We start from the raw sequence: 26,781 nt of genomic DNA, 5'->3' as shown, positions 1-26,781 counted from the left end.
TGCTGTATGGCCCAGATTATGGTGTGTTTTGGTAAATTTCCACGTGAACTTCAAAAGAATATGTATTCTGGAGTTGTTGAGTACAGTGCTCTGTGTGTGTCACTTAGGTCAATTTGGTTATTTATTTGTTCTGATCTTTTATATCCTTTCTTTTTAATTAGTTTTAATTTTAGTTTCTCTTATTATGCAGTTTTATTGGTATTTAATAAAATTTCGTGTGTTTGAAGGCCATTAGCATTTCTCTGTGTACTACCTGTTCATACCTCTTGTGTGGCTTGCGTTTTAACCCTGTTTATAAATGTCCTTAATCATATTGGAATTAAACATTTTTGTTTGTCAAACTTACTACTTTCTCTTTTGTGGCTTTTGTATTTTGTATTTCTTAAAGTCTCTCATAATTTATAAGCACAATTTACTTGTATTTTCTTCTAACATATGTATAGTTTATTTTTCATTTACCTCTTGAATGCATTTTTTTCTGAAATGACTTCAAATTGTTCCTACATAGTTAATTGAATAACAATAAGTACAGTTTGTTAAATGACAGTAATACCGTAGGCATTGTTCTACAGTGGTTTACATATTTATTTATTTATTTATTTTTGAGATGGAGTCTAGCTCTGGGTGTTGGCCGAGGTTGGAGTGCAGTGGTGCGATCTTGGCTCACTGCAACCTCTGCCTCTTGGGTTCAAGTGATTCTCCTGCCTCAGCCTCCTGAGTAACTGGGATAACAGGTGTGTGCCACCACGCCTGGCTAATTTTTATATTTTTAGTAGAGACGGGTTTCACCATGCTGGCCAAGCTGGTCTTGAACTCCTAACCTCAGGTGATCCACCCACCAGCCTCCTAAAGTGCTGAGATTACAGGCGTGAGCCACCGCATCCAGCCCAGTGGTTTACATATTTTAAATCATTTAGTTCTCACGATACCCTTATGAGGCCTATGCTTTTATCCTATGTAATACCGTTATGAGGCCTATGCTTTTATCCTATGTAATACCATTTTGAGGTCTATGCTTTTAAATCATTTAATTCTCACAATACGCTCATGAGGTCTATGCTTTACAGATGAGGAAACTGAGACACAAGAGAGATTTAGTAGTTTGTCCAAGGACATTGTATTAGTCTGGGTAAAACTAGAAGACAGAAACCATACCATAGTTTAAATAGAAGTTTAATATAAAGAGTTATTAAGCAGTGATTGAAGAGTAACTCTATAAACATGGGACGAGAACTCAAAAATGTATCCTAGGGCAGAGAGAGAATACCCAAAGAAGAACACGTTTGGAAGTACGTTTAGACGTCATTGAAGAAGGTGTGGCTATCATTCACTGTATGGCAGAGAAGTTGCTGGGTTACCCAGGCCAGAGCTGGTCTACAGTCATTGTGTGAGTAGGATCAATCCTGTGAGGCAGAGGCAAGCTCAGGCTGGTAGGTGGGCACACAGAGGTCAAGATGCTGTGAGAATTAAACCTCCCTTGGGCAGGATAAAGATTGGGCTTTGGCTCACTACGCAGGCACCCCGTGGAACACTTGCTATGTGTGCCTATGGGGCTGAGGAGTGGGTGTGGGTATCAATGACCTGAATTGGAGTATGGTCTCATTCTTTCTGGAGCTCTCAGCTATGCTGCTGTGGCACAAATCAGGAGCTGGAGAAAACGTGGTGTTCAAATGCTGGAGAAAGCTGCTCCCTGTGGGCACTTAGTACAGGAGAGTACCACATTGGTCAGAAGTGAAGCCTGGTGCGCAAGACAACACTTTCCTCCTACAGTGTTTCTTTAGTGTCCTCTACTGACAAAGCTTACCTATTGTGCTAGCTGGCAAAGGAAACGTACTTAGAGGGCCCATATCCATTTTCACACATCAGGCAATAAAGGGTGAATTTGTAGCTGAGAAGCAATAAACCGGTTAACTGGAACAGTTACAAAGTAGTCTGACTCCTAGGCTTTTACCTTTGTGTTCTTTCTCCCTCTTATATGTAGTTTATCCTTTTCCTACTGATTTGAAATATTAAATACCTAAATTCAAAAGTGTTTGTTTCTGAACTTTAGCTTTATTCTATTTCATTGACATTTCTTTATTTTGTACTCAAACCACTGTTTTTTAATTAGAATAGCTTCAAATAAAAAAATGATATCTTGCAGGGTAAATAACTCTTCATTTTTCTTTTTCAAAGTTTTATTTTTCTGATTAAGAGTCAGCTTCTTATGTATCCTGGAAATCATTTTGAAGTTTTGATGGAGAATTGGATTTATAAGTTATAAATTGGATTTATAAGTTGTGTTATAAATGTATAAGTTGTAACTTATAACTTATAAATCCAATTTATAAGTTATAAGTTATAAATTTATAAGTTATAAGTTATACATTTATAACATAAATTGTTAATTTGTAAACAATATAAAGTTATAAATTGGATTTATAAGTTGGAGTAAAGATTTGGATTTATAAGTTAACTTGGAAAAGATGAATGTCTTTACAATATTGAATCATCACATCTAGAACTATATTGTTTTAAGAACTAGTAAAGGGATCTGATTTGGGCTTTTCTTTTTTTTTTTTTTTGTATTTCATACTTTTTTTGTGGAAGATTTGGTATTGAGCTACATTTCTACAATTGGTTTTTCTTGGAGTCTGTTGGCCTTAATTTAAATTTTTGTAGTCTCTTTATATATTCCACTGATGATTTGTTTGTATTAATCATTTCCTGAAAGGCAGGCGTATATTAGTGATGAAGGGTATGGTCTCCGATATTGGCTGCCTCCATGTTAAAACTCAGCGCTGTGATCATGGGCAGGCAACTTAACCCTCTGTATAAATGTTTTCTCATTAATCAGATAGGATTAATAAGTGTGGTTACATGACAGAATTGAAGGATCAGCTAACTCATCCGATAGATTTAAGAATTTGGCACTGGGCCTGGAGCACATTAGGAAATAGTTACTTTGATTGCCTTCCACCATCATCATCATTGTCGTCATCAGTGTCATTGTCTTTGTCATTGTCATCCTGACAGTGTTTATCACACTCAAAACTGTCCTGTCAGTTCTCCTGGATAAGCACTATCACCTCACTTGTACATACTGGTTAGCCTCTTGGAAAGAATCTGAACCACATTTTAGGTTACAATCTTTTACACAGTTGGCCTCTTCTCCCACCCTTACCCAATTTGAAGGACATTTCCCCGTTCTGTCTCTCTTGTAGGTGACATTTAAAATTTTTGGCTTATTTTTCCCCCATTAATTTTTCTCTCCAAGGTCAATTTGAAGCTGTTTATAATCATGTTTACTCTTTAAAAGGAATTTATGGTTTTGTGGTCACTAAATGCCTGGAGCATGTATATAGTTTTGATAGTAAGATAGTACCATATTTTCAGTTCATTTTAAAAACTCTATTCTGAAATCTATTAAAAAGGAACCTAATTTAAATATGTAGTATTTCAATTCAGCCTTTGCTTCTATAGCACGTGACAAAACATGAGAATATGTATTTTATATTCGTTCTTTTCTTCTAGGTTTTCATACATTTTTTGATTTAACTCTTATTGCTCATGGTTATTAAGGGTTTTCATTAGTATTATTTGATATATCGAAAAAGAATTTCCAAGATATATTCAAGTTGTTTTATTGAAACAACTGCAAAACTGAGTGGGAAACTAGAAGACATTTCTGACATCTTTTTTGCCAATTTTTTTTTTTTTTTTATAGGAATCAAGAACCCAGTCTCGGTTGCCAACAGACTCTTATGTGAAGGGCAGAAGGGCAAGCTCTCGGCTGGCAGAATTCCTCCCTGGTAACCACTTTGTTCTTCCTGACTTTCCCTGTCTTTAGTGCATTTTTATCCACAGAAGGCTGATGCTGTTGGTTACATACCAGGTAGCATGCCTTTGCGAAGAAGACAAACTTTGTTCCGTGATCTTGGAACATTTTGTACAGCTAATAAAGTTTTGGATAGAAAAGAATATTATGGATTAAAGCAGAAAGGGGATCAGTGTTCAACTGGGCTCATTTTATTATGAAACTTAAAAAAAACTTACACATTGTAGTCCAGAGTCTAAAGTAATTTTTAATTTTGAGAAGTTCTTAGAATAAAAGTACATGGAACATAGTAAATAGCCCTTATAAACCTGTGATACAGCTCCAATTACCAGTGTTTTGTACTTCATCTGTTTCATGCATCTCAGTTTTTTTCCTATAGGGTTTTTTGTTTTTGTTTATTTTTATTTTGTTTTATTTTATTTTTGAGACAGGGTCTCACTCTGTCACCCAGGCTGGAGTGCAGTGGCACAGTCATGGCTCACTGCAGCCTTGACCTCCTGGGCTCAAGAGATCCTCCTGCCTCAGCCTCCTGAGTAGCTGGGACTACATGCATGTGCCACCGTTCCTGGACATTATTTTTATTTTTTGTAGAGATGGGGTCTTGTTATGCTGCCCAGGCTCATCTCAAACTCCTGGACTCAAGCAATCCTCCTGCCTTGGCCTCCCAGAGAGCTGGGATTAACAGGCATGAGCCGCTGTGCCTGGCCCCTATAGTATTTTAAAGCAAATCCCTGACATTGTAGTTTACCCTTAAATAGTTTTGTAAGTAATTCTGTGTTTGCACAACATAGCCACCGTACTGTTAGCATGCCTAACAATATTAAAACTTTATGCTTTAATACCTTGTCACACTTAGTCTATGCTCAGCATGCCTGGTTGTGGAGGTTACATTAATGTTCTGTGTTCAAAGTTGTGGTGACAGTGCTGTAGGAATCACTTTGATTCTACTGTGTTTTGAAGTCACAGAAAATAAATTAATATAGTTTAGAAAAATCTTAAATCCTTTACCCAGATAGATTTCAGATTTTAATTATATATGTCCCAGTTTAATTATGGCACTAGAGAGTCAATTATGAAAAAAATCTCAAATATCAATTTTTAATATTATGTGTTTTTGATAAAGCAGTGGTAAGGGAAAGCAAATCTGATTTATTGAGATCCTTTCTAATATGTGTTGGATGGATTTCAGTAAGTTTCCTGATAACTCTGAAAGTGAGAAAAGCCGGGCGCGGTGGCTCACCCTTGTAACCCCAGCACTTTGGGAGGCTGAGGCGGGCAGATCACGAGATCAGGAGATCGAGACCACGGTGAAACCCCGTCTCTACTAAAAGTACAAAAAATTAGCCGGGTATGGTGGCGGGCACCTGTAGTCCCAGCTAGAGGTTGAGGCAGGAGAATGGTGTGAACCCAGGAGGCGGAGCTTGCAGTGAGCTGAGATCGCGCCACTTCACTCTAGCCTGGCCAACAGAGCGAGACTCCGTCTCAAAAAAAAAAAAAAATCTTACACTTGCTTCTCTAATGATTTATATTAAACCCATGCTATTTTGTTTAACTGGTATGAGATTACCAATCCATAATTTACTAAGTGTTTGTTCAGTAGGTGCATGCGGAGTCCTTCTAGCCATACCTTTTTAAGGGAGTAATAAGTGCAAAGAGATTGTCTCTGGATTTATATTCTCTGTAATGTGCATTTAAACATGACTGTGTTCTTTCACCCAATATTTCCTATTGTGTGTAAAACCTAATTAACATGAACTAAACAATTTAGAAGATATGTACCCAGTAGGGAGAAAAAGATGTAGTTGTTTGGTTGGCAAGAAAAATAGCATAAACCATGTAAAAAGTATTTTGAAGTTCACCTACGAATCTACCATAATCCCATTGACCCCACTCCTCATGGCATTTACCAAGCAGATTCTCAAATTTATATGGAGGAACAAGTGTACAAGAATAGTCAAGACAGTTGTAAAACAGATGAAAGAGTTGGATGTACTTAATGGATAGCATGATACTGTTATATAATACTATAGTAATTAACACAGGTTGATGTAGATATGGATAAAAAGATCAGTAAGAACTGCAAGTCTAGAAGCTGACTCAGTGCATGAGGGAATTTGGTCTATGATAACAGTGTCATCTCAAATCACTGTGGGGAAAAAGAATGATGTATTAAATAAATTGTGTTGGGGCAATTGACTACCTAGTGCAAGAACATTAAATTCCGATGTCACATCACTAAGAAAAAGCCCAAACCCAAAAGTAAAAAAGTGTAGTATAAAAATATTAGGAAAAAATATGGGAGAGTATTCTTATGACTATGAGGCAGCAAAAAATATATTAAGATAAAAAATAAAGCTAAGTATTGAAACATATGACAAGTGAAGATGTATACCTATTATACAAGTGAAGATACTACGATCAGAATTAAAAGACAGTATGTCCTTTGGAACTGAGAAAAATTATTTGCAGGATATGTAGCAAACAAAAGATTATCCAGAGTATTTATGAACTATAAAATATCAATAAGAAAAAGACAACCCAAATTTTAAAAATCAGTAAAGGATACAAATAGGCAATTTATGGGAAAGAAAATATTAATGAGATATAAATACATTAAAAGGTGCCCAATAATATTAATCAAGGAATTGTTAGTAAAAAAAAAAAAGATGATATTTTCACTATTTTCAAGTAGCAAAATTAACAAAAACCAACAATGTGCAGTATTATTCAGGGTGCAGAAAAATAGATTCTTCTGCTGTTGATGGGAACATAAACAGCCAGTTGAGAGACATTTTGGTATTATTTATTAAGTACAAATTGAAAAGGGACACTGTATGCTCCAGCATTTCTATCCTGAGACAAAATGCCTTCATGAGAAGGCTTGTACAGCACATGAAGGCTATAGCATTGTTGCTTGTAGAATATAAAAATGTAAGCTACCTAAATATCCATCAATGGCTAAATAAACTGTTTTCTAGTTATATTATTAGATACCCTGTGGCATTAGAAAAAAGGAGAGAAACATTTGTGTATAGTAACATGGCTTAGTGTTAGAATTAATTTACTTGGGCTGCCTTAACAAAATACCTTAGATTCAGTGGCTCAAACAGTAGAAAAGTATTTCTCACAGTTCTGGAAGTTAAGCGGTCCAAGATCTAGGTTCCCGCCTGTTTGGTTTCTGGTGAGCGTTCCTTTTCTGGCTTGCCTTCTCACTGTGTCCTTACACTAGAGATAGGGGTGTAGGGAAGGGGTTGTTGAGAGAGAGAAAAATTTCTTTCTTATAAAGACACTAATAACATCATGAGGGCCCTACCCTCATTTTATCCAACTCTCATTATTTCCCAAAGGCCCCATCTCCAAATATTATCACACTGAGGGCTAGGGTTTCAACAAATGAATTTTTGGGTGGACACAATTCAGTGCACAGAAATAGACCTCACATTGTAGGGTAAAAAAATCAAGTTGCTGATGATGTGTTCATTTTAACTTCTGTTTTCTTAAAAAGATTACAAAACAATGTGATGCATACCTGTTTTCTGCCATCTAGGATAGGAAATAAAACACCACCAAAAGATTTGGAGCTGCCTAGACTAAACTCTGCCAATTTACATTTCTACCTACAACGTCTTATGATCATTCAACAAAACACTTACCAGGAGTAATATAACATTTAAAAAATCTTTCCAAAGTTAGAAGAGATTTAACATGTACTCCTTGTTCCTTCTACTGTCCCCCATGCTCACCGTGACCCCCATCTCTGCCCTACCCCTAGGTAACAATAACCCTGATTTTCTCATTGCCACGTATTCTTTCATATTATTACAGCATATACAATACTCTAATTTTCTTTGGCTACATAAATATGTGCATAGATGTACAAAAATGACTTGTAAAGTAGGTTACTAAAGCCACTGTGATTACCTCAGGGGAAGAGGGAGTAAGATGAGGCAATTGTCAAAGGGGACATATGCAATATTTTAATATTTTACAAAGAGAAAACATATGGGAGAAAGTGATGGCTGCGTCTTTATTAAAATTATATAATAATGCTACACTTGTCTGGAACTAGCTGGTTTTCTCACAAACATAGTTTTCAACTTTATGTTTGATTGTTCTGATATTATAGGTATTTAACATTTTCATATGAATTTTAGAATTTGTTTTTCCATTTCTGTAAATAGCCTGCCAGAATTTTGATTGTGATTCTAATATATGCATTTATTAAGATTTTTAAACGCTCCCAACTGTTTTATAGTTTCCAGTGTATAGATCTTGCACAGCTTTTATTATATTTATACCTGGTACTTCACTTTTTTTTGATGCTGTGGTAAATGGAAATTAAGCATGTTAATTTCCAACTGTTCATTGTCAGTATATAGAAATGTGATTGATTTTAACATATTGACATTCTATCATGGGAATTTGGTAAATCCATTTGTTTTAGTCCCATTTTTATAGATTCCATAAGACTGACTTTCTTTCTTTCTTTCTTTCTTTCTTTCTTTCTTTCTTTCTTTCTTTCTTTCTTCCTTTCTTTCTTTCTCTTTTCTTTCTTTCTCTCTCTCTCTCTCTCCTTCCCTTCCTTTCTCTTCTCTTCCCTTCCTTTCTCTTCTCTTATCTTCCCTTCCCTCCGCTCCCCTCCCCTCCCCTCCCCTCCCCTCCCCCTTCTGTCTCGGAATCTTGCTCTGTTGCCCAGGCTGGAGTGCAATGGCATGATCTCGGCTCGCTGCAGTCTCTGCTTCCTAGGTTCAAGCGATTCTCCTGCCTCAGCCTCCTGAGTAGCTAGGATTACAGGCATGCACCACCATGCCCTGCTAATTTTTGTATTTTTAGTAGAGGAGGGGTTGGCCAGGCTGATCTCGAACACCTGACCACAGGTGATCCGCCCACCTCAGCCTCCCACAGTGCTGGGATTACAGATGTGAGCCACCGTGCCCAGCTAAGATTTTTTACATAAATATTATGTCTCCTGGGAATGAATATAGTTTTATTTCTATTTCTAACCTGGATTCTTTTAACTAATTTTTTTCATGCTTTATTGCATTGTCTGGAACCTCCAATGCGGTATATGGTAGAGAAGTGTGAGAGTGGACATCATTCCCTTCTTTGTGATATTAAGGAAGAAGCATTTGGTCTTTCACCATTAAGTAAGATGATTGCTGTAGGTTAATCACAGATGCTCTTGATCATATTGAGAAAGTTCCTTTCTTTTCCTAATGTATTACCTCATTTTTATACTGCTATGAACTAATACCCAGGACTGGGTAATTTATTAAAAAAAGAGGTTTAATGGACTCACAGTTCGACATGGCTGGCGAAGCCTCACAATCATGGCAAAAGGTGAAGGAGGAGCAAAAGTCCCTCTTACATTACATGATGGCAGGCAAGACAACGTGTGCAGAGGAACTACCCTTTATAAAACTGTCAAAGCTCATGAGATTTACTCACAAGAACAGCACGGGAAAAACCTGCTCCCATGATTCAGTTATATCCCACTGGGTCCCTCCCATGACACATGGGTATTATGGGAGCTACAATTCAATATAAGATTTGGGTGGGGACACAGCCAAACCATATCACTTAGTGTGCTGAGAACTTTAGTAGGAATAGGTATTGTACTTTGTCAAATGCTTTGCTGCATCTATTGAGATGATCTTATAATTTAAAAAATTTAGTTAGCTAATTTAGTGATTCTTTGATTTTTGACTGACAAAGCAGCACTTGCATTCCTGGGATAAATTCTACTTGGTCATAATATATTATCCTTTTTATATATTGTTGGCTTCAGTTTGCTAATATTTGGTAAAGAATTTTTACATATATGTTTATGAGTGATACTGGTTTATAGTTTTCTTGTAATAACTTTGGTTTGGGTTCCTTTTGCTTTTTGGATGTGTGGGGATATATATTTCATCAACTTTGGGAAAAAAATTCCTCATTATCTTTTCAGATATTTTTTTCTGAATCCCTGTCTCTTCTATTCAGAATTCTGATTACATGTAATTTCAGCCTCTTGTAGTAGTTTACAGATCACTCATGATTTGTTTACTTTTTTCATTGTTTTTTCTCTCTTTGTTTCATTTTGAATAGTTTCTATTGCTATCTTCAAGTTTACTAATTATTTTTCTGTCTAATCACTTAATGTCTAATTACCTGCTAATCCCATTCAGCTTGTGTTTTATTTCTTTATGTATTGTTATTTTTATCTCTACAAGTTTGATTTGCATCTTTAAAAAATGTCTTCCATGTATCTACTTAACATGGTTAAACTTTCCTCTAGCTTCCTGAACATATGAATAGTGTTATAACAACTATTTAAATATCTTTGTTTGCTAATTCTGTTATCTTTGTTATTTATGGATTGTTTTCGATTGAATGATTTTTCACCTCATAATAGGTTACCTTTCTTCCTATTTTGCATACTTGGTAATTTTTATTGGGTTTCAGACATTGTGAGTTTTACCTTTTTGGGTGCTGTGTATTTTTGTATTTTAAAAACTATTCTTACATTTTATTCTAGGATGTGGCTAAGTTACTTAAAAACAGCTTGAGCCTTTCAGGTCTCGCTTTAAACTTACATGAGACGAAAAGCATTTGGCCTTGAGCTAATTTTGCCTTGCTATTGAGGTAGAATCTTTCAAAGTATTATAACAGATGCACCTAGAATGAGGCCTTTACTTTGGCTGGTGGGAGCAGGAGCTGTTGTTCCTGGCTGTCTGAACTTGGGGACTTTGTTTCTTTTTTTTTTTTTAAACTTTCATTTCATTTGTTCCAGTGCTTTGGGTAATTTCTTCTTACACATTCACTGATCTCTACTTAGCTGAAGCTTAGAGGGATACTCTCTGCAGATCTCTAGCGTACTCTCTATATGCAGCTTTCTCCTCTCTGGTATTGTGAACTCTGGCTACATGGCCTCTCTGGATGCCCGACTATGTCACTTCAACTCAGAGATATTGCTGGAGCTGCTGTGCTGTGGTTTAGAAACTCTCTAGGCAGTAATGAAGGTGAACTCTATGATTGCAGTAAGGCAGTCACAAGGTTTACCTTGTTTTCCTTTCTCTCAAGGATTACTGTCCTATGCCTAATGTCTTAACGTCTGAAAACTGTTATTTTCTATATTTTGTCTTTTGTTTTTTTCACCACTTCAAATAAGAGGGTAACTTTGTTCCCTGTTACTCCATCTTGTCCAGAAGTGAAAAATCTCTCACATACCTGGAAGTTCACTTTCTAGATTATAATAGAAATTAGATGACTAGAAATATTTGGATCACATGTAAATAAGCTCAAAGTAAAAACATGATAAATTTGGTTATGTTGATTTAGGGTACTCAGGGAATTTTTTAAAACTATATTACATTTAGACAGTGAACTCTAGAGAGTTTCTACTATAACAAAACACCTTAATATCATAAACTAGTTAGCTTATAAACAATACAAGTTTCTCACAGTCCTGAAGGCTGGGAAGTTCAAGATCAAGGAGCTGGGGGATTCAGTGTCCCATTAAAGGGGGCATTCAAGAGGGCTAATCCCATTCAAGAGGGCTTCACCCTCATGACCTAATCACCTCCCAAAAGGCCCCACCTCCTAATGCAATCCCAATACCTTGGGGGTGAGGTTTCAAACTATGAATTTTGGGGGAACACAGTTGTATATGTTAGAACATTTCAATAATAAAAAAATTAAAACAGAGTCCAAAAGAGAACAGTTATAATTTGGTTGTTATGTGTTATTTCCAAGTATAGCAAGTTTTTCTTTATTTGCATTTTATGTGTTGATAAGCTTTAAATAATCAATAACCGAAGTTATCTTTCTTCAGTTTTTTGTATTTATGAAGAGTAAAGAAGTCATAGATAAAATGGAAATCAGTTCTTGAGTCCAGAGAATTAGTTATGTTCTCCCATATCTTTCTCTTTGAAAACAATGTATTTTGATTACGGGGGTTCCTGAAGATCCTTGAGCGCTTTCTGAACCACTAAATTACACATTTTAGACTGATTATAGTCATGATTCTTTGAAAATGGGAGGTTCGCATCCATGAGAACATCCACGAGATTGTAATTCACATGAGTACATCCATGAGATTGTAATTCCTATCACCGTATTTGCCCAGATAGTCCGTTTCAGGGTGTTTTCTCTGTCAGCACTTGCAGCTCAGTTCTTGAGAGTTTTTTTTTTTTTTTTTTTTGAGATGGAGTCTCACTCTGTCACCTAGACTGGAGTGCAGTGGCACGATCTTGGCTCACTGCAACCTCCACCTCCCGAGTTCAAGCGGTTCTCCTGCCTCAGCCTCCCGAGTAGCTGGGATTACAGGTGCGTGCCATCACACCCGGCATATTTTTTTATAGTTTTGGTAAAGACAGGGTTTCACCATGTTGGCCAGGCTGGTCTCAAACTCCTGACCTCAAGTGATCCACTTGCCTCGGCCTCCCAAAGTGTTGGGATTGCAGGTGTGAGCCACTGCGTCCAGCTGAGAGTTTTAATTACCTCACCTCCGTGGTGGTTTCAGTAGAGTGTTGCTTTTTGTTTTGTAACCATTTAGATCTGCTTTAATGTAAACGAAGATGGGTATAACACAAGGAAAATGCTGTCCTTTAATCTAGAGAAGTTTGACACTCTATTATTTTGTTTAATATCTTGACAATTTTTATTTAATGTTTAGTATGCTTTAGGCACTGTTCTAAATGCTTGAGATATGTTGATGAAGAAACGAAGATCTCCACCCTTATGAAGCTCGAAGCTTTTAAGGACTTTATACAGAAATAAACTAACAGATACAATGTGTAAATTATCAATTATGTAATATGTTAGAAGGTGGAAGAAGGTAAAAGGAGCAGGATAAGGAGATTGTGAGTACTGGGTAGAGGAGTGCAGGGTAGTGGGATGCATTTTTAAGGAAGCCTCATGAAGGAGGGATATTTGAGCATGTGAAGGAATTTCCCATTTGGGAAATAGGGAAAGAGCCAGACAGAGGGAACATTCAGGGTGAAGACCCTGAGGCTGGAGCCTCCTTGGTATGTTTGTGGCTTTACACGACAATGAGTAGAGTACACAAGGAGGTAAGAGCAATAAGAGATGAACTGGGGAGCGGTAAGGATCAGATTCCATGGGAGCTTGTAGATTTTTAAAAAGACCCTAGTTTTTACACTGGTCCTCACAAGAGGTTTTACAGGATTTTGAAAGAGGAGTGCCATTACCTGACTTGTATTTTACAAGGATTTTAGTGGCTGGTGTATTGAGAATTGACTGAGGTCAGGGAATACAGGGCAAGGCAAGCATAAAAATAGTGGGGCCACTGCAGCATTGTAGGTATCAGATGATGGTGGCTCAGACCAAGGTGGTAGCAGTGGAGGTGGTGAGAAGTGGTCAGATTCCAGATATGTTATAAAGGTAGAGTCAATGGGACTTTGAAGTAGATTGGCGTGAACCTTTTCTAAAAGTTTCCTCCTCGGAGAATCAGAAGAATGCTTGAGAGAAATTTGAATCGGTGCTGCATTCAATGTTTAGAAATGTGATTTTTTTGACATGTCAGTATAGTTTTTAGTAAAAGCTTCTGCTAAAATGATTTCAAAAGCAATTATATGATATTTTGTGTGATGATGACCTACTATACAATACTTTTTTATGTTGAGGAAAGGGTAGATAGTTAGTATCCTTATCCATAAGATGACATCCAACTATTTGCCTTCCTATGAATATTTTACAGTGCCCGAAGTATTTAAAAACTTAAATAGTTGACAATAGCAAATTGATTTTACTTAGAATCAAACCTTCGAATGATTAAAAAATATATAAAATAAAGCTAAGAATATTTTGTAAAATGCCCCTCACTGATTCCAGATACTGGAATTGAACCCAAAGTGACCAATGGGAGTGCTGAGAATATTAGATTAACTCCAAACTTTTGTCTTGATCATGTAGTTTACTACTTCAACTTCTCTTTTACATCTTCTCATGAACAGAATTATTTCTTTTATCAGTTTTTTTTTCCTAGAAGAAGGAAATGCTAAAAATGCCATCAGGACAGTTCAAATTTGCGTCCAAGCTCCTATTTCAGTCATCTTAACATTTGAAGTTTATGTGACGGCTTTTCTTTGGAGAGGATTTCATTTCGTACAAGAATAGGAAAAACTGTTTTCTATTCTTAGAATCCTTTAGAATTTTTTTTTTAAAGTAGAATTTTGAAGAGGTAAAGTTGTTTATTCTCATTGGCCTTCTCTCCTCTCTATTTAAAATAGTCCCTCCATCCCCATCTTTATGTATATTAGAAAGCAGTTATTGAGATTAACCATTTGGTTTCCCATTGGAACCATTTGGATATGTTTCTGAGGGTCTACTTAGATTTTGTTTTGCCAGTCTGTCACTGGTCTTATTAGCAGTCAAATCTTAAGACTTCAATATGTGTTACTTCGAGTTTTTAATGTTGGAATGATTAAAATAACAGAAACAAAAAAATAGGGAGTGGAAAACTAGCAAGTAGGCACAAGTTCAAGGAATCCATTACTAGCTGGCTGAGATCTTTAAGAAGTTGGCTATGGAAGAAGATGGAGTGATTAATTATTATGGTAACTGCTTGCTATTACTATTTGCTTAGTCAAATTACTTAGGGAATGGGGTAATTATCCTACATGCTATTTGAAATCTTTGAAAACAAGTCTTTTATATTTAGCTAGCAATATCCTTTTATCCACTTTGTTATATTAAAACTTGCTATTTAGGACTTAAAAGTTACTTTTGGGACATACCATAGTACTTACCACAGTAAAAGTGATTCTGAAGGTTATGTATGTATTTTCGTTGCATCAGGGCTTAGAAATGTAAGCATATATATTTGGGCATCTCCAGATGTACCCACTAATTTTGGATGGATCCAGGTATTCTGCTAGGTAATAATGCCAAATCTGAAGGCATTCACTTAATTGTAAACTGTTAATTTGAGTAACCAATCTTGTGACATTAACTGAGAACCCTGTTGGTCCAAGATAAATCTTAATGTTTTCTACTGAGAAGTCAACCATTTTTACATCTTATTATGTTTGAGTTTGCCAATTTTTACTAGTTAGTTATTGCAAATGGTATTGTAACATTCCAATTGTAAAATTTCTAATTTGGAGAAAAATTTTCAGGAATTTTTTAGCATGCAGTCATCTTACTACTTTGAGGTAAATCTGGAATTATGTCCATATGCAAGACTTTTTCTCAACTGCCTTACCATATTACCTATATTTATTGAATATGTAGGAGAAGATGACACTGTGAATTTTAAAAATAATTTTTCTGTTGTTAGCTTTTTAGTTGGAGAAGGAGCCTACAGATGGGCAGTAGATCATGGAATACCCTCTTGCCCTCCTAACATCATGACCACAAGTGAGTAAAAACTTAAAAAAAATTAAGCTATATGAGCATATATACCTAAAGTATAATATTGCTTCTGTTATGACCCATGTAGTACAGATATTTATGGAAGAATACTTATATGTTGAAAGATTTGTAGTTAAAAGCTACGTAGAAAGTTATTTCATTTTAAACCACCTTTGTATTCCTGAGGTCTTCTCACTGCTTCCTTATGCTTTTATAAAAGTATTACTAAAAGATCCCTTTTAGAGATTACTTAAAATAATTACTACTAATAAAGCATTAATACCACCCTTCAATGAGAGAGAGAGATGGAGAGAGAGAGAGAGAAGAAAATATAGGTCAATATTTAACAGTCCTTGAGCTGAGGGAAGGACTTTTTAGATACAAATGCAAGGGAAGGAAAAACAAAGGTGTGACTACATAGAGTTAAACTGAAAAACAGTTATCACAAATATGACAAAGGGATAAATATCCTTAATCTATGAAGAAATTTACCAAATTAAAAACAACACAAATACAAGTAATTGCCCAATATAAAAATGATCAAAAGTCCTAAGTAGATAATATAACATAACTGACAGGCAAATTCAAATTAAAATGAGTACATGTTAAATTTGTTCCCTTTTAACTTTTGAAAGATTTAAAACATATTACTCCTGGTAAGTGTTTGGTTAAATAATCATAGTACATTGTAAGTATAAATGTGAATTGGCAGAGATTTTAGAGGACAACTAAGTAGTACAGATAAAAAGCTTTAAAAGCCTTGTTCTGCTTCTGGGAACCTGTCACTGGAGATAGACAAAGATTTATGTAGAAGGGTGCTCAAGTGAGCATTATTAAGAATATACAAAATTTTGAAAAAAATCTTATACCCAACACAGGAATATGAGTAAATAAATGATCATATATTCTTATAATGAAATGTTATGAAGTAACTAGAAATTGTTATGAAGACTAATCTCTGATAATGATTGAATCTAATGACTTTAAAAGAGTGAAAAATGAAGTTATAAATATGTATATGTTTGTGTATATGTCTGTTTAAAAATATTTGCATAAAATGAGAAAGAAATATTAAAAACACTATTTTTTAAATAAAAATTTTATTTTTATCACTGAAATCTGTGAATATAATTTAAATAATCAAATGAAAAAGTGAGGATTAACTCCAAGGAAACCAACTTAGTTAAATAGGGTATAATTAGCCAGGTGTGGTCGTGCACTCCTGTACTCTCAGCTACTTGGGAGGTTGAGGCAGGAGAATCCTTTGAGCTTAGGAGTTTGAGGCTGCAGTGGGCTATGATTGCACCACTGTATTCCAGTTTGTGTGACAGAGCGAGACCTTGTGTCTAAAAAAAAATTATATTCAGAATGAATATTCATGTAATGCTGAAAGTTGTAATATAGGGAGGCTAGAGGGAAGAGAAATGTGTGTGTAGCAGTAGGGCTGAAATATGAGAGTTTTAAATTCCCATGATCCCTGTCACTAATTATGTCTTACAGTCTTTCCAATGGAACTTATTTTACAGTCCTTATATCAGGCAAACAAATTAGGTCATCTGTCAGTTCCCTTTTTTTCCCTTGGAGACAGGCCACCTGGCCCCTTCCAGTCTCGAGTCTTACTAGGTCTGCTGTGTGGCTGCCATCCTGGACTGTGCCTTGCTTCACCTTGTGATCTCCTTCGCCTCTCTCCAGTATCAGGTTCTCTGTTTCCTGGATCTCATGTGTTTTTCTTCCTTGTTTTATTCCTTATTCAGTACATACGAGACTGAAAATCAGTTTCCCTTAGGTTTTTGAGGAAATTGTTCTCTTATCATCTGGTTTCCAGTCTTGCTATTATTATGCAAGACTCACAAATATTGTGGTGTATTTTTTTCTCTTTGGAAGGAAGCTCTTAATTCCCATGTTTTGATGATCACAATGAAGCATCTTGGGGCATTTTTTTTTTAATTCTTTATGTTGAGTGCTCATTTTGCACATTAAGTCTGGACATTTATATGCTTCAGATTTGGAGAAATTAAAAGAAAATTTTGGGATAATTTCTTCCTTCACATTTTCTGTATTTTATTTTCCGAATACCTATTTTTTAAACACTTTTAATTTTAGGGGCACATGTACAGGTTTGTTATATAGGTAAACTCATGTCACAGGGGTTTGTTGTACAGACTATTTAGTCACCCAGGTATTAAGCTAAGTGCCCTTTAGTTATTTTTCCTGATCCTTTTCCCCCCTCCCACCCTTCACCCTCAGTTAGGCTCCACTGTCTTTTGTTCCTCTCTGTGTGTCCATGTGTTTCCATCATTTGGCTCCCACTTATAAGTGAGAGCATGCGGTATTTTTTGTTCCTGTGTTAGTTTGCTAAGGATAATGGCCATCTCCATCCATGCTCGTGCTAAAGACATGATCTTACTCTTTTTTATGGCTGCATAGTATTCCATGGTGTATATGTACCATATTTTCTTTATCCAGTCTACCATTGATGGGCATTTAGGTTGATTCCATGTATTTGCTGTTGTGAATAGTGCTGCAGTGAACAGATGCATGCATGTGTCTTTATGACAGAACAACTTGTATTCCTTTGGGTATATACTCAGTAACGGGGTTGCTAGGTCAAATGGTAGTTCTGTTTTTAGCTCTTTGATGAATTACCACACTGCTTTCCACAATGGCTGAACTAATTTACACTTCCACCAGCAGTGTGTAAGCACTTTTTCTCCGCAACCTCACCAGTGTCTTATCTTTTGACTTTTTAATAATAGCCATTCTGACTGGTGTGAGATAGTATCTCATTGTGGTTTTGATTTGCAGTTCTCTAATAATCAGTGATGTTATCTTCTTTCCCACCTTAACCCCGATAGCCACTAATATATTTTACATTTGTATAATTTTGTCATTTCAAGAATGTAATATAAATGGTATCATACAGACTGTAACCTTTTGGTATTTGCTTTTTTTTTTTTCCTTCCTCACTATAACTCTCTGGAGATAACATCCAGGTTGTGTTTATCAATAGCTTGTTTTTTTTTCATTCCTGAGTATTCATGGTATGGAGGTACTACTACTGTTTAGCCATTTACCCATTTATGTCTGGGTTGTTTCCAATTTTTGGCTATTATGAATAAAGCTTCTGTAAACATTCTTGTACTTTTTTTGTAGTTCTTTTTAAAATTATGGTAAAATACACATAACATAAAATTTACCATCTTAAATATTTTTAATGGTATAGTTCAGTAGCTTTAAATATTTTCTTATTGTTATGGAACTAACAGTACCATCAACTATAGAACCCTCTTCATCTCGTAACACCAAAGCTGTACCCATTAAGCAGTAACTCCCCATGTGCCTTCCATTTAGTCCCTGGCTAGTTCATTTTTGTCTCTATGAATTCTGCTTTTATAAGTGGAATCATAGAGTACTTGTCCTTTTGTAATTGGCTTATTTCACTTAGCATGACTTCTTCAAGGTTCATCCATGTTGTAGCATGTGTCAGAATTTCTTTTTAAGGCTGAATAGTGTTTCATTGTATGTATATACCACATTTTGTTTATCTACTCATCCACTGATGAATACGTGGGTTACACTACCTTTTGGTTGTCATGCATAATGCTACTGTGAACATGGCTATGCAAATATCTGTTTGAGTCCCTGCTGTCCATTTTTTTTGGGTACCCCGAAATGGAATTGCTGGATCACATGGTTATTCTATTTTTATTTTCTGAGAAGCCACCATATTGTCTGTTTTCCATAGTGGCTGCACCATTTCATGTTCTATCAACAGTGCACCAGGGTTCCAGTTTCTCCATACCCTTACCAATACTTGTTCTTTCCTTTACTTTTTAAAAAATAGTTGGCATCCTAATGGCTGTGAGTTGGTATTTCATTGTGATTTTGATTTGCATTTCCATAATGATTATGCTGTTAAAGTGTCTTTTTATGTGCTTATTGGCCATTTTTATATCTTTCTTAGAGAAATATATATCCTAGTCCTTTGCCTATTTTTCAATCAGGGTTTTTCTTGTTGAGATATAGGAATTCTTCATATGTTCTGGATGTTAACACTTATCCGATATGACTTGCAAATATCTTATCCCATTCCACGAGTTGCCTTTTCACTCCATTGATTGTGTCTTTCACTCCATTGTGTCTTTTAAATTTTTATCTATTTTTTTCTTTTATTGTCTGTGTTTTGGTGTTATATCCAACCTTTCCCCTATGTTGTTTTCTAAGAGATTTATAGTTTTAGCTCTTACACTTAGGTCTTTGATCCATTTTGAATTAATTTTTTTATATGGTATAAAGTGGGGGTCTAACTACATTCCTTTGCATGTGGTTGTCTAATCTTTCAAACACAGTTTGTTGAAGACTGTTGTTTCCCTATTGAATGGTGCTAGTACCCTCGTCAAATCGTTGACCATATATGTGAGAGTTTATTTTTGAACTCTTTAATCTATTGCATTTTTCTGTGTAATGGCCTTTATGCCATTTCCATATTTTTTTTTTTTTTTTTTTGAGATGGAGTCTTACTCTGTTGCCCAGGCTGGAGTGCAATGGTGCGATCCTCTGCTCACTGCAACCTCCGCTTCCCGGGCTCAAACAATTCTCCTGCCACAGCCTCCTGTGTAGTTGGGATTACAAGTGCCCACCACCACACCCGGCTAATTTTTTTTTTGTATTTTTAGTAGAGATGAGGTTTCACCATGCTGGCCAGGCTGGTTTTGAACTCCTGACTTCAAATGATTTGCCTGCCTCGGCCTCCAAAGTGCTGGGATTACAGGTGTGAGCCACCACGCCCAGCCTCCATACTGTTTTGATTGCTGTAGCTTTGCAGTAAGTTTTGAAATTAGGAAGTGAGACTTCCAACTTTTTTTTTGTTTCCAAGATTGTTTTGATTATTTAGGGTCCCTTTAGATTGTACATGAATTTTAGGATTGATATTTCTATTTCTTAAAAAAAAAAAAACACTATTGGGATTTTGTTAGGGATTACACTGAATCTGTAGATTGCTTTTAGTAGTACTGACATCTTAACAATATTAAAGCTTCCAATTCATGAACCTGGGTGTCTTTTCATTATTAACGTCTTTAATTTCTTTCAGCAATGTTTTGTAGTTTTCAGCATACAAGTATTTTGCCTCCTTGATTTTAGTTTTTTTCTAAGCATTTTATACTTTTCGATGCTATTGTAAATGGGATTGCTTTCTTAATTTCTTTTTAAATTGTTCATTGTTAATTTATAGAAATGCAACTGATTTTTGAGTGTTGATTTTGTATCATACAACTTTGCTGAATTTATTAGTTCTAGTGGGTTTGTGTGTTTGTGTTGGGGGACGGGGTTGGAGATCTTTAGGATGTTCCAAGTATAAGATCAAGTATAATTTCCTCCTTTCCAATTTGAATGCCTTTTACCTCTTTTCCTTGCCTAATTGCCTTGGCTAGGACTTCCAGTACTTCTAGGACTTCTAGTTCTAGTACTTCTAATATTAGGTTTGGACTTCTAGTACTAGAAGTGGTAAAAGTACATATCCTTGTCATGTTTCTGATTTTAGGGGAAAAGCTTTCAGTCTTTCACCATAGATATGATGTTAGTTGTGGGCTTTTCATATTTTGCCTTTTTATGTTGAAGTAGTTTCTTTCTATTTCTGGTTTGGTGTTTTTACTATGAAAGAATTTTGAATTTTATAACATGATTATTTGTGCATCAATTTATGATCATGCTGGGTGGAGTGGCTCTTGCCTATAATCCCAGCACTTTGGGAGGCTGAGGCGGGAGGATCACTTGAGGCCAGAAGTTCAAGACCAGCCTGGGCAACATAGTGAGGCCCTGTCTCTGTTAAAAAAAAAAAAAAAAAGATCATATGGCTTTTTCCCTTCATCCTGTTAATGTTGGTGTATAACATTGATTTTCATATGTTGAACGACCTTTGCTTCTTAGGAATAAATTGCACTTTGTCATAGTGTATTATCCTTTTAATATGCTGCTGCATTTGGTTTGGCAGTATTTTGTTGAGGAATTTTGCATCAACGTTCATAAGGGGTATTGGTTGATAGCTTTCTTATGGTGTCTTTGTATGGTTTTGGTATTAGGATAGTGCTGGCCTCATAGAATGACTTTGGAAGCGTTTCCTCTTCGTTAATGTTTTTGGTGTTTGTTGTTTAAATGTTTGGTAGAATGCTCCAGTGAAGTCATGAAGTCTGGGAATTTTTTTTTTGCCGGGAGAGTTTGGATTATTGATTCAATCTCCTTACTAGTTATTGGTTAATTTAAATTTTCTATTTCTTCATGATGCAGTCTTGTAGGTTTTGTGTTATTGGACTTTGTTAATTTCATTTAGGCCATTCAATATTTGGGTACACAATTTTTCATAGAACTCTCTTATTTATATGTGTGTGTACATATATATGCATATATACATTGTCTCAAAAAAATTATATCTCTATATACATATATATGTGTGTGTGTGTTGTGTATGTGTATACGTGCGTATGTATGTGTGTGTATATATACACCTATGTGTGTGTATATATGTGTATATACACACACATACATACGCACGTATACACATACACAACACACACACACACACACACACACACACACACATATATATATGTATATAGAGATATAATTTTTTTTTTTTTTTTGAGACAAGGTCTTGCTCTTGACCAGGCTGGAGTGCAGTGGCGCAAACATGGCTCACTGCAACCTTGACTGCCCAGACTAAGATGATTCTCCCATCTCAGCTGCTGGAGTAGCTGGGACTACAGGTGCATGCCACCATGCCTGGCTAATTTTTGTATTTTTTATAGAGACAGGGTTTCACCATGTTGCCCAGGCTGGTCTCGAACTCCTGTATTCAAGTGATTCACCCACATTGGTTTCCCAAAGTGCTGGGATTACAGGCATGAGCCACTGTGCCTGGCCTATAATACTTTTTATTTTTGAAGAATCAGTAGTAATGTCCCCACTTTGATTTCTGATTATAGTAATTTGTCTTTTTTTTTCTTAGTTAATCTAGCTAAAGATTTAAATTTTGTTAATGTTTTCCATGAACTAACTTTTGGTTTTATTTGTTTTTCTCTATTTTTTTGGTATTATCTATTTTATTTATCTCCACTCTGATCTTTATTTCCCTTGTTCTGCTAGCTTTGGGTTTAATTCTTCTTTTACTAGTCCCTTAAGTTTTAAAGCTAGGTTGTTGTTTGAAATCTTTCTTATTTTTTAATGTGTTTATAGCCATAAAATTTTCCCTTCATAAGGCTTTTGATGTACTTTGTAAGTTTTGGTGTATTAATTTTTATTCTTATCTGAGGATTTTCTGATTCCTTTGTGATTTCTTTCTGTATTTTAGTTTTCACAATTTGTGCATTTTCCAGTTTTCTTCTACCATTGATTTCTAACTCCATCCTGTTGTAGTTGGAGAAGATACATTGTACAATACCTATCTTTTACAATCTATTGAGATTTGATTTGTGCTCACACACAAATGGGACATTTTGGAAAAATGTCCCAAGTGAACTTGAGAAGAATGTGAATTCTGTTGTCGAATATAGTGTTCTGTTTATATCTTTTAGATCTACTTGGTTTATTGTGTTCTCTTTTCATTTTCTTTTGTGTATATTGTCTTGCTATTTTTTTTTGTGGTTACAATGGGGATTACATTTAACATTCTAAAATTATAACACTCTAATTTGAATTTAGACCAGCTTAACTTCAATAACAAATAAAAATTCTGTTCTTATACAGCTCTGTCTCAACCCTCTTTTGCAAAATTGTATCTTTTCCCATTGTCTGTCTCAAAACAGACTGATAGTGTTTTAATGCTTTAATTTCTTAAATCATGTAGAAAATAAGCTAGGCATGGTGGCTCATACCTGTAATTCCAGCACTTTGGGAGGCTGATGCGGGCGAATCACCTGAGCTCAGGAGTTTGAGACGAGTCTGGCCGACATGGTGAAACCCTGTCTTTACTAAAAATACAAAAAATTAGCCAGGCGTGGTGGCACGTGCCTGTAATCCCCGCTACTTGGGAGGCCGAGGCAAGTGAATTGCTTGAACCTGGGAGGCAGGGGTTGTAGTGAGTCCAGATTGTGCCACTGTACTCCAGCTTGGGCGACAGAGGGAGACTCTGTCTCAAAAATAAATAAATAAAATAAAATCACGTGGAAAACAAAAAGCATAGTTAGAAACCAAAATTACAGTAAGACTAGCTTTTACAGTTGTCCATGTACTTATCTTTATCAGAGATCATTATTTATTTACAGGTTTGAGTTCTGTCTAAGGTTCTTTCATTTTAACCGGAAGGATTTCCTTCAGCATTTCTTGCAGGGTAGGTCCAGTAAAAATGAACTATCTCAGTTTTTGTTTACCTGAGAGTATTTTAATTTGCCCCTCATTTTTGAAGGATCGTTTGGCCACTTCCAGGGTTCTTGGTTGATGCTTTTGTTGTTTCAGCACTTTGAATATATCAACCCACTGTTTCTGGCTTCCAAAGTTTCTGATGAGAAATCTGCTTATAATATTATTGGGGATCCCTAGTAGGTGATAATCTGCTTTTCAAGATTCTCTCTTTGTCTTTGGCCTTTGACAATTTGATTATAATGTGCCTTGGTATGGATCTCTCAGTTTTCCTACTTGGAGTTCCTTGAGCTTCTTGGGTGTTTATATCTTGGGTGTTCATATCTTTCATCAAATTTGGCAAGTTTTCAGCTATTATTTCTTCAAGTAACCATCTTCTCTTTCTCTCTTTCTTTTCCTTCTGGGACTGTACAGTGTGTATATTTGTAAATCTATGCAAGGGCCCCATGAGACCAAAAGTTTCTCAGAGATAGTTTTCTTTCCCCACCTCTTTCGAATACTTTGTTCTTTCTTTTTCTCTACCTTCTCCCTGTTTTTTCCCCCCACCTTCTGTCGGTCTCATGCTCTGCTGTAATCTGGGACAATATTGCCTGCATGCATTTGCTTTTGAGATAGAGGGAGTAATGGACTCAGTTATGGATTAGCTTTACTCTAAGAGAATTAGCCCTTTAAATTCCCAGTTTATTGTGGGGAATGTCTCCTATAAAACTCTGTACTCTTAATGGGCTTTGGGCTTGACGTATCCCTCTCCTTGATGCCATTTAGTCGAATGCAAGTGTGCTAGTGTTGGCAAATGTTCACAGTGCAATAATACCTTTAGTCCTCAGTTTACCCAAGAATTTAGCTTAGTGCTTGTAAGGTTTTGAATGCTTTTAAGGTGGTATTTTAAATATTTTACCCAATGTTTTTAGGAATATTCTGTGGATAATTACTCTGAATAACTTAGTCTGCCATTATCAGAAAACTTCAATAACTTTGTCAGTGTTATGTTCCAGTTTGTAATTTCTCTTATCAGCTGGATCTAATTGGCTGTTAAAATTTGTATATCAAGTTTTAAAATTTTGATTATTTTATTGATTGATTGAAGCTCTATTTGTTCTTCAATTCAGCCTAGTCAGTTTATCATCTTGCTGCTTAATCCTGTTTTTGATGTCTTTCTTTTCTTTCTCTGAGCATAAACGTGTGTTATATTCTGTATCTGATTATTCCAGTATCTGAGATTTTTGCAGGTCAGGTTATGCTTTCTGATATTCGGCTGGCTTTTATTCTTGGTAGTTTATCTCTTATGTGTTTTATGAATTTTCCTTTTAAAACTATGAGCACATGTTGATTGAAACATGGGAGTTCTTTGAGGTCTGGGTAAGTTAAGGCCAGTTTGTTTTTCTGGGGAGTATTTGCATTTGTGTTTGGAGGCCCTTTGAAGCACTGTTGATCACTTTTTTACCCTGGGATCTCACAGGTAATAAGAATTCTACTCGAGGTCTATCTAAATGCCCGCATTAGTCCTGAAATTTCTAGGGAGATGTTTCCTCTTTACATCTAGAACCAAAGCTGAGATTTGCAAGTTTTCTGGTTTAAAAAATGTTTTATTTACTTTTTATTATTTTTTGGTGCCTGGTGGCTTTTTTCTCATTTGCCCATTCACTGGGAATATCAACCATTGAGACTTTCTCCTTTCTTTGTGGATAATCTCCAGTGTGTTTTCTCATACTGCATTGTGCCCAAGTTTCGTCTCTTACCTCCTTTGCGCAGAGACCTTTAAAACGACAGTTGGAGGAGGCTTGCATCAACAGATGCCCTGAGGGTAGTATCTGCCTTCAGGACTCCTTTGTTTCTCTGGGTTGGACCATTTTCTTAATTTTAAAATCTTAATTTATTTCTCTTATTCTCCTACTATCCCTGTATACATTGAAAAGACTTTTTAAACCCTTAATTTAACATACTGAAGGATTTTCTTCTGGGAAGGCTCTTCAGATATCTTATTTGACCCATTGCCCTAATATTTCTTAAATGTTATATTTAATGTTTTTTATTTTTATTTTATAGGATTCAGTTTAGCTGCATTTAAAAGAAACAAGAGGAAACTAGAGCTGGCAGAAAGGGTGGACACAGATTTTATGCAACTAAAGAAAAGAAGACAATCAAGTGAGAAGGTCAGGTGGTGTTTGAAATATTCAAATTAATGTATCAGATGATATATCTTCTGCATTTAGATACAAGCTTTAGGACGATACAATTCAGTAGAAATAGAATGTGTGTCACATATGTACTTTAAAGTTTTTCAGTAGCTACATTAAAAATATGTTCATAATATTAGGCTCATAAAAGAGAAAAAGAAAGTAGAAAGAAACAAGGGAAATTAATTTTAATATATTTTATTTAAACCAGTGGATCTAAAATATAACTTTGAAATATGATCAGGGAAAAATTATTAATGAGCTATTTTACATTATCGTTTTTAGTATTAAGTCTTCAGAACCAGTTTGAGTTTTCCACATCTCAATTATAACACTAAATTTTTATTAGATATATTTGATCTGTATTTATATTTCATAAAAATTTACTGTGAAATAGTAAATTTACATACCAAGTTATTACAGGTATACTTAAATCTTCCTAATAGTTTAATATATTAGAAAATTAAAATTTTATAAAATTAAAAATTCAGCTTTCCATTTGTCCTTGACTCATTTTAATTTCTGAATAGCTACATTTGGCTCGTGGCTACTGTTTTGGTTCTTACAGCTCCTGATAGTGATTCTTAACATGACTGTTTAGGGAGTAGAGTGTAAGTATAAGAAAATATACATATTGTATTCAGGCGTTTTTAGGGATAGAAAGAAATTGAAAACTACAACATTCTTGCTCAGCCTGTGGCTTAGGGGTTTCTTAGCATACAGCTCATGATGGGTGTCCCAGGTCACATAGTCATGTGATGTACCTTAGCATTCATCAATATTCTTTATTGTTTAGTTCTTCTGTAATGGCTTAGATACTGTTTTGTCCTTTGTGTCATAGTTTTATATGGTTTACCTATGTATGAATGCACAATACATCATCTTTTGTAGTGATAGATATTTTCTTGGTGTGTTGCCACGAGATAATCAGTTTGGTACAAACCTTTTTAATTTTCTGCCGGCAAAGGATAAGAATTTAGAAGGCAGATGAACAAATTAATAAGTAGATCTTGATATGATGGTGGATAGTCTATTTCTTGGGTTTCTGCATCGGATGTGATGTGTGGGTGAATGAAT

General features: G+C 35.5%; 1 protein-coding gene across 23 annotated transcripts in view; it reads left to right on the top strand.

The window, feature by feature from the left end:
* TASP1 (taspase 1) overlaps nt 1–26,781 on the top strand; it is a 534,161-nt gene that overhangs the window by 54,245 nt on the left and 453,135 nt on the right. For 16 of the 23 annotated variants that reach the window (XR_001754319.3, XR_007067463.1, XM_047440269.1 and 13 more), the window contains 3 exons: nt 3,707–3,791; nt 15,102–15,181; nt 25,574–25,680. The exons of 2 other annotated variants lie outside the window; for them this stretch is intronic. Coding sequence is in view for 15 of the 21 variants with exons in the window: in XM_047440269.1 (XP_047296225.1) it covers nt 3,707–3,791; nt 15,102–15,181; nt 25,574–25,680 (272 nt within the window). In the remaining 6 variants the exon portion in view is untranslated. The remainder of the gene's footprint in view (nt 1–3,706; nt 3,792–15,101; nt 15,182–25,573; nt 25,681–26,781) is intronic. 5 more of the 23 variants (NR_136628.2, NR_136631.2, NR_136629.2 and 2 more) reach the window with 3 other exon arrangements.

Source organism: Homo sapiens, chromosome 20, assembly GCF_000001405.40.
Source record: "Homo sapiens chromosome 20, GRCh38.p14 Primary Assembly".
Classification (NCBI taxonomy): Eukaryota; Metazoa; Chordata; class Mammalia; order Primates; family Hominidae; genus Homo; species Homo sapiens.
This window is presented reverse-complemented; position numbering and strand designations above follow the sequence as displayed.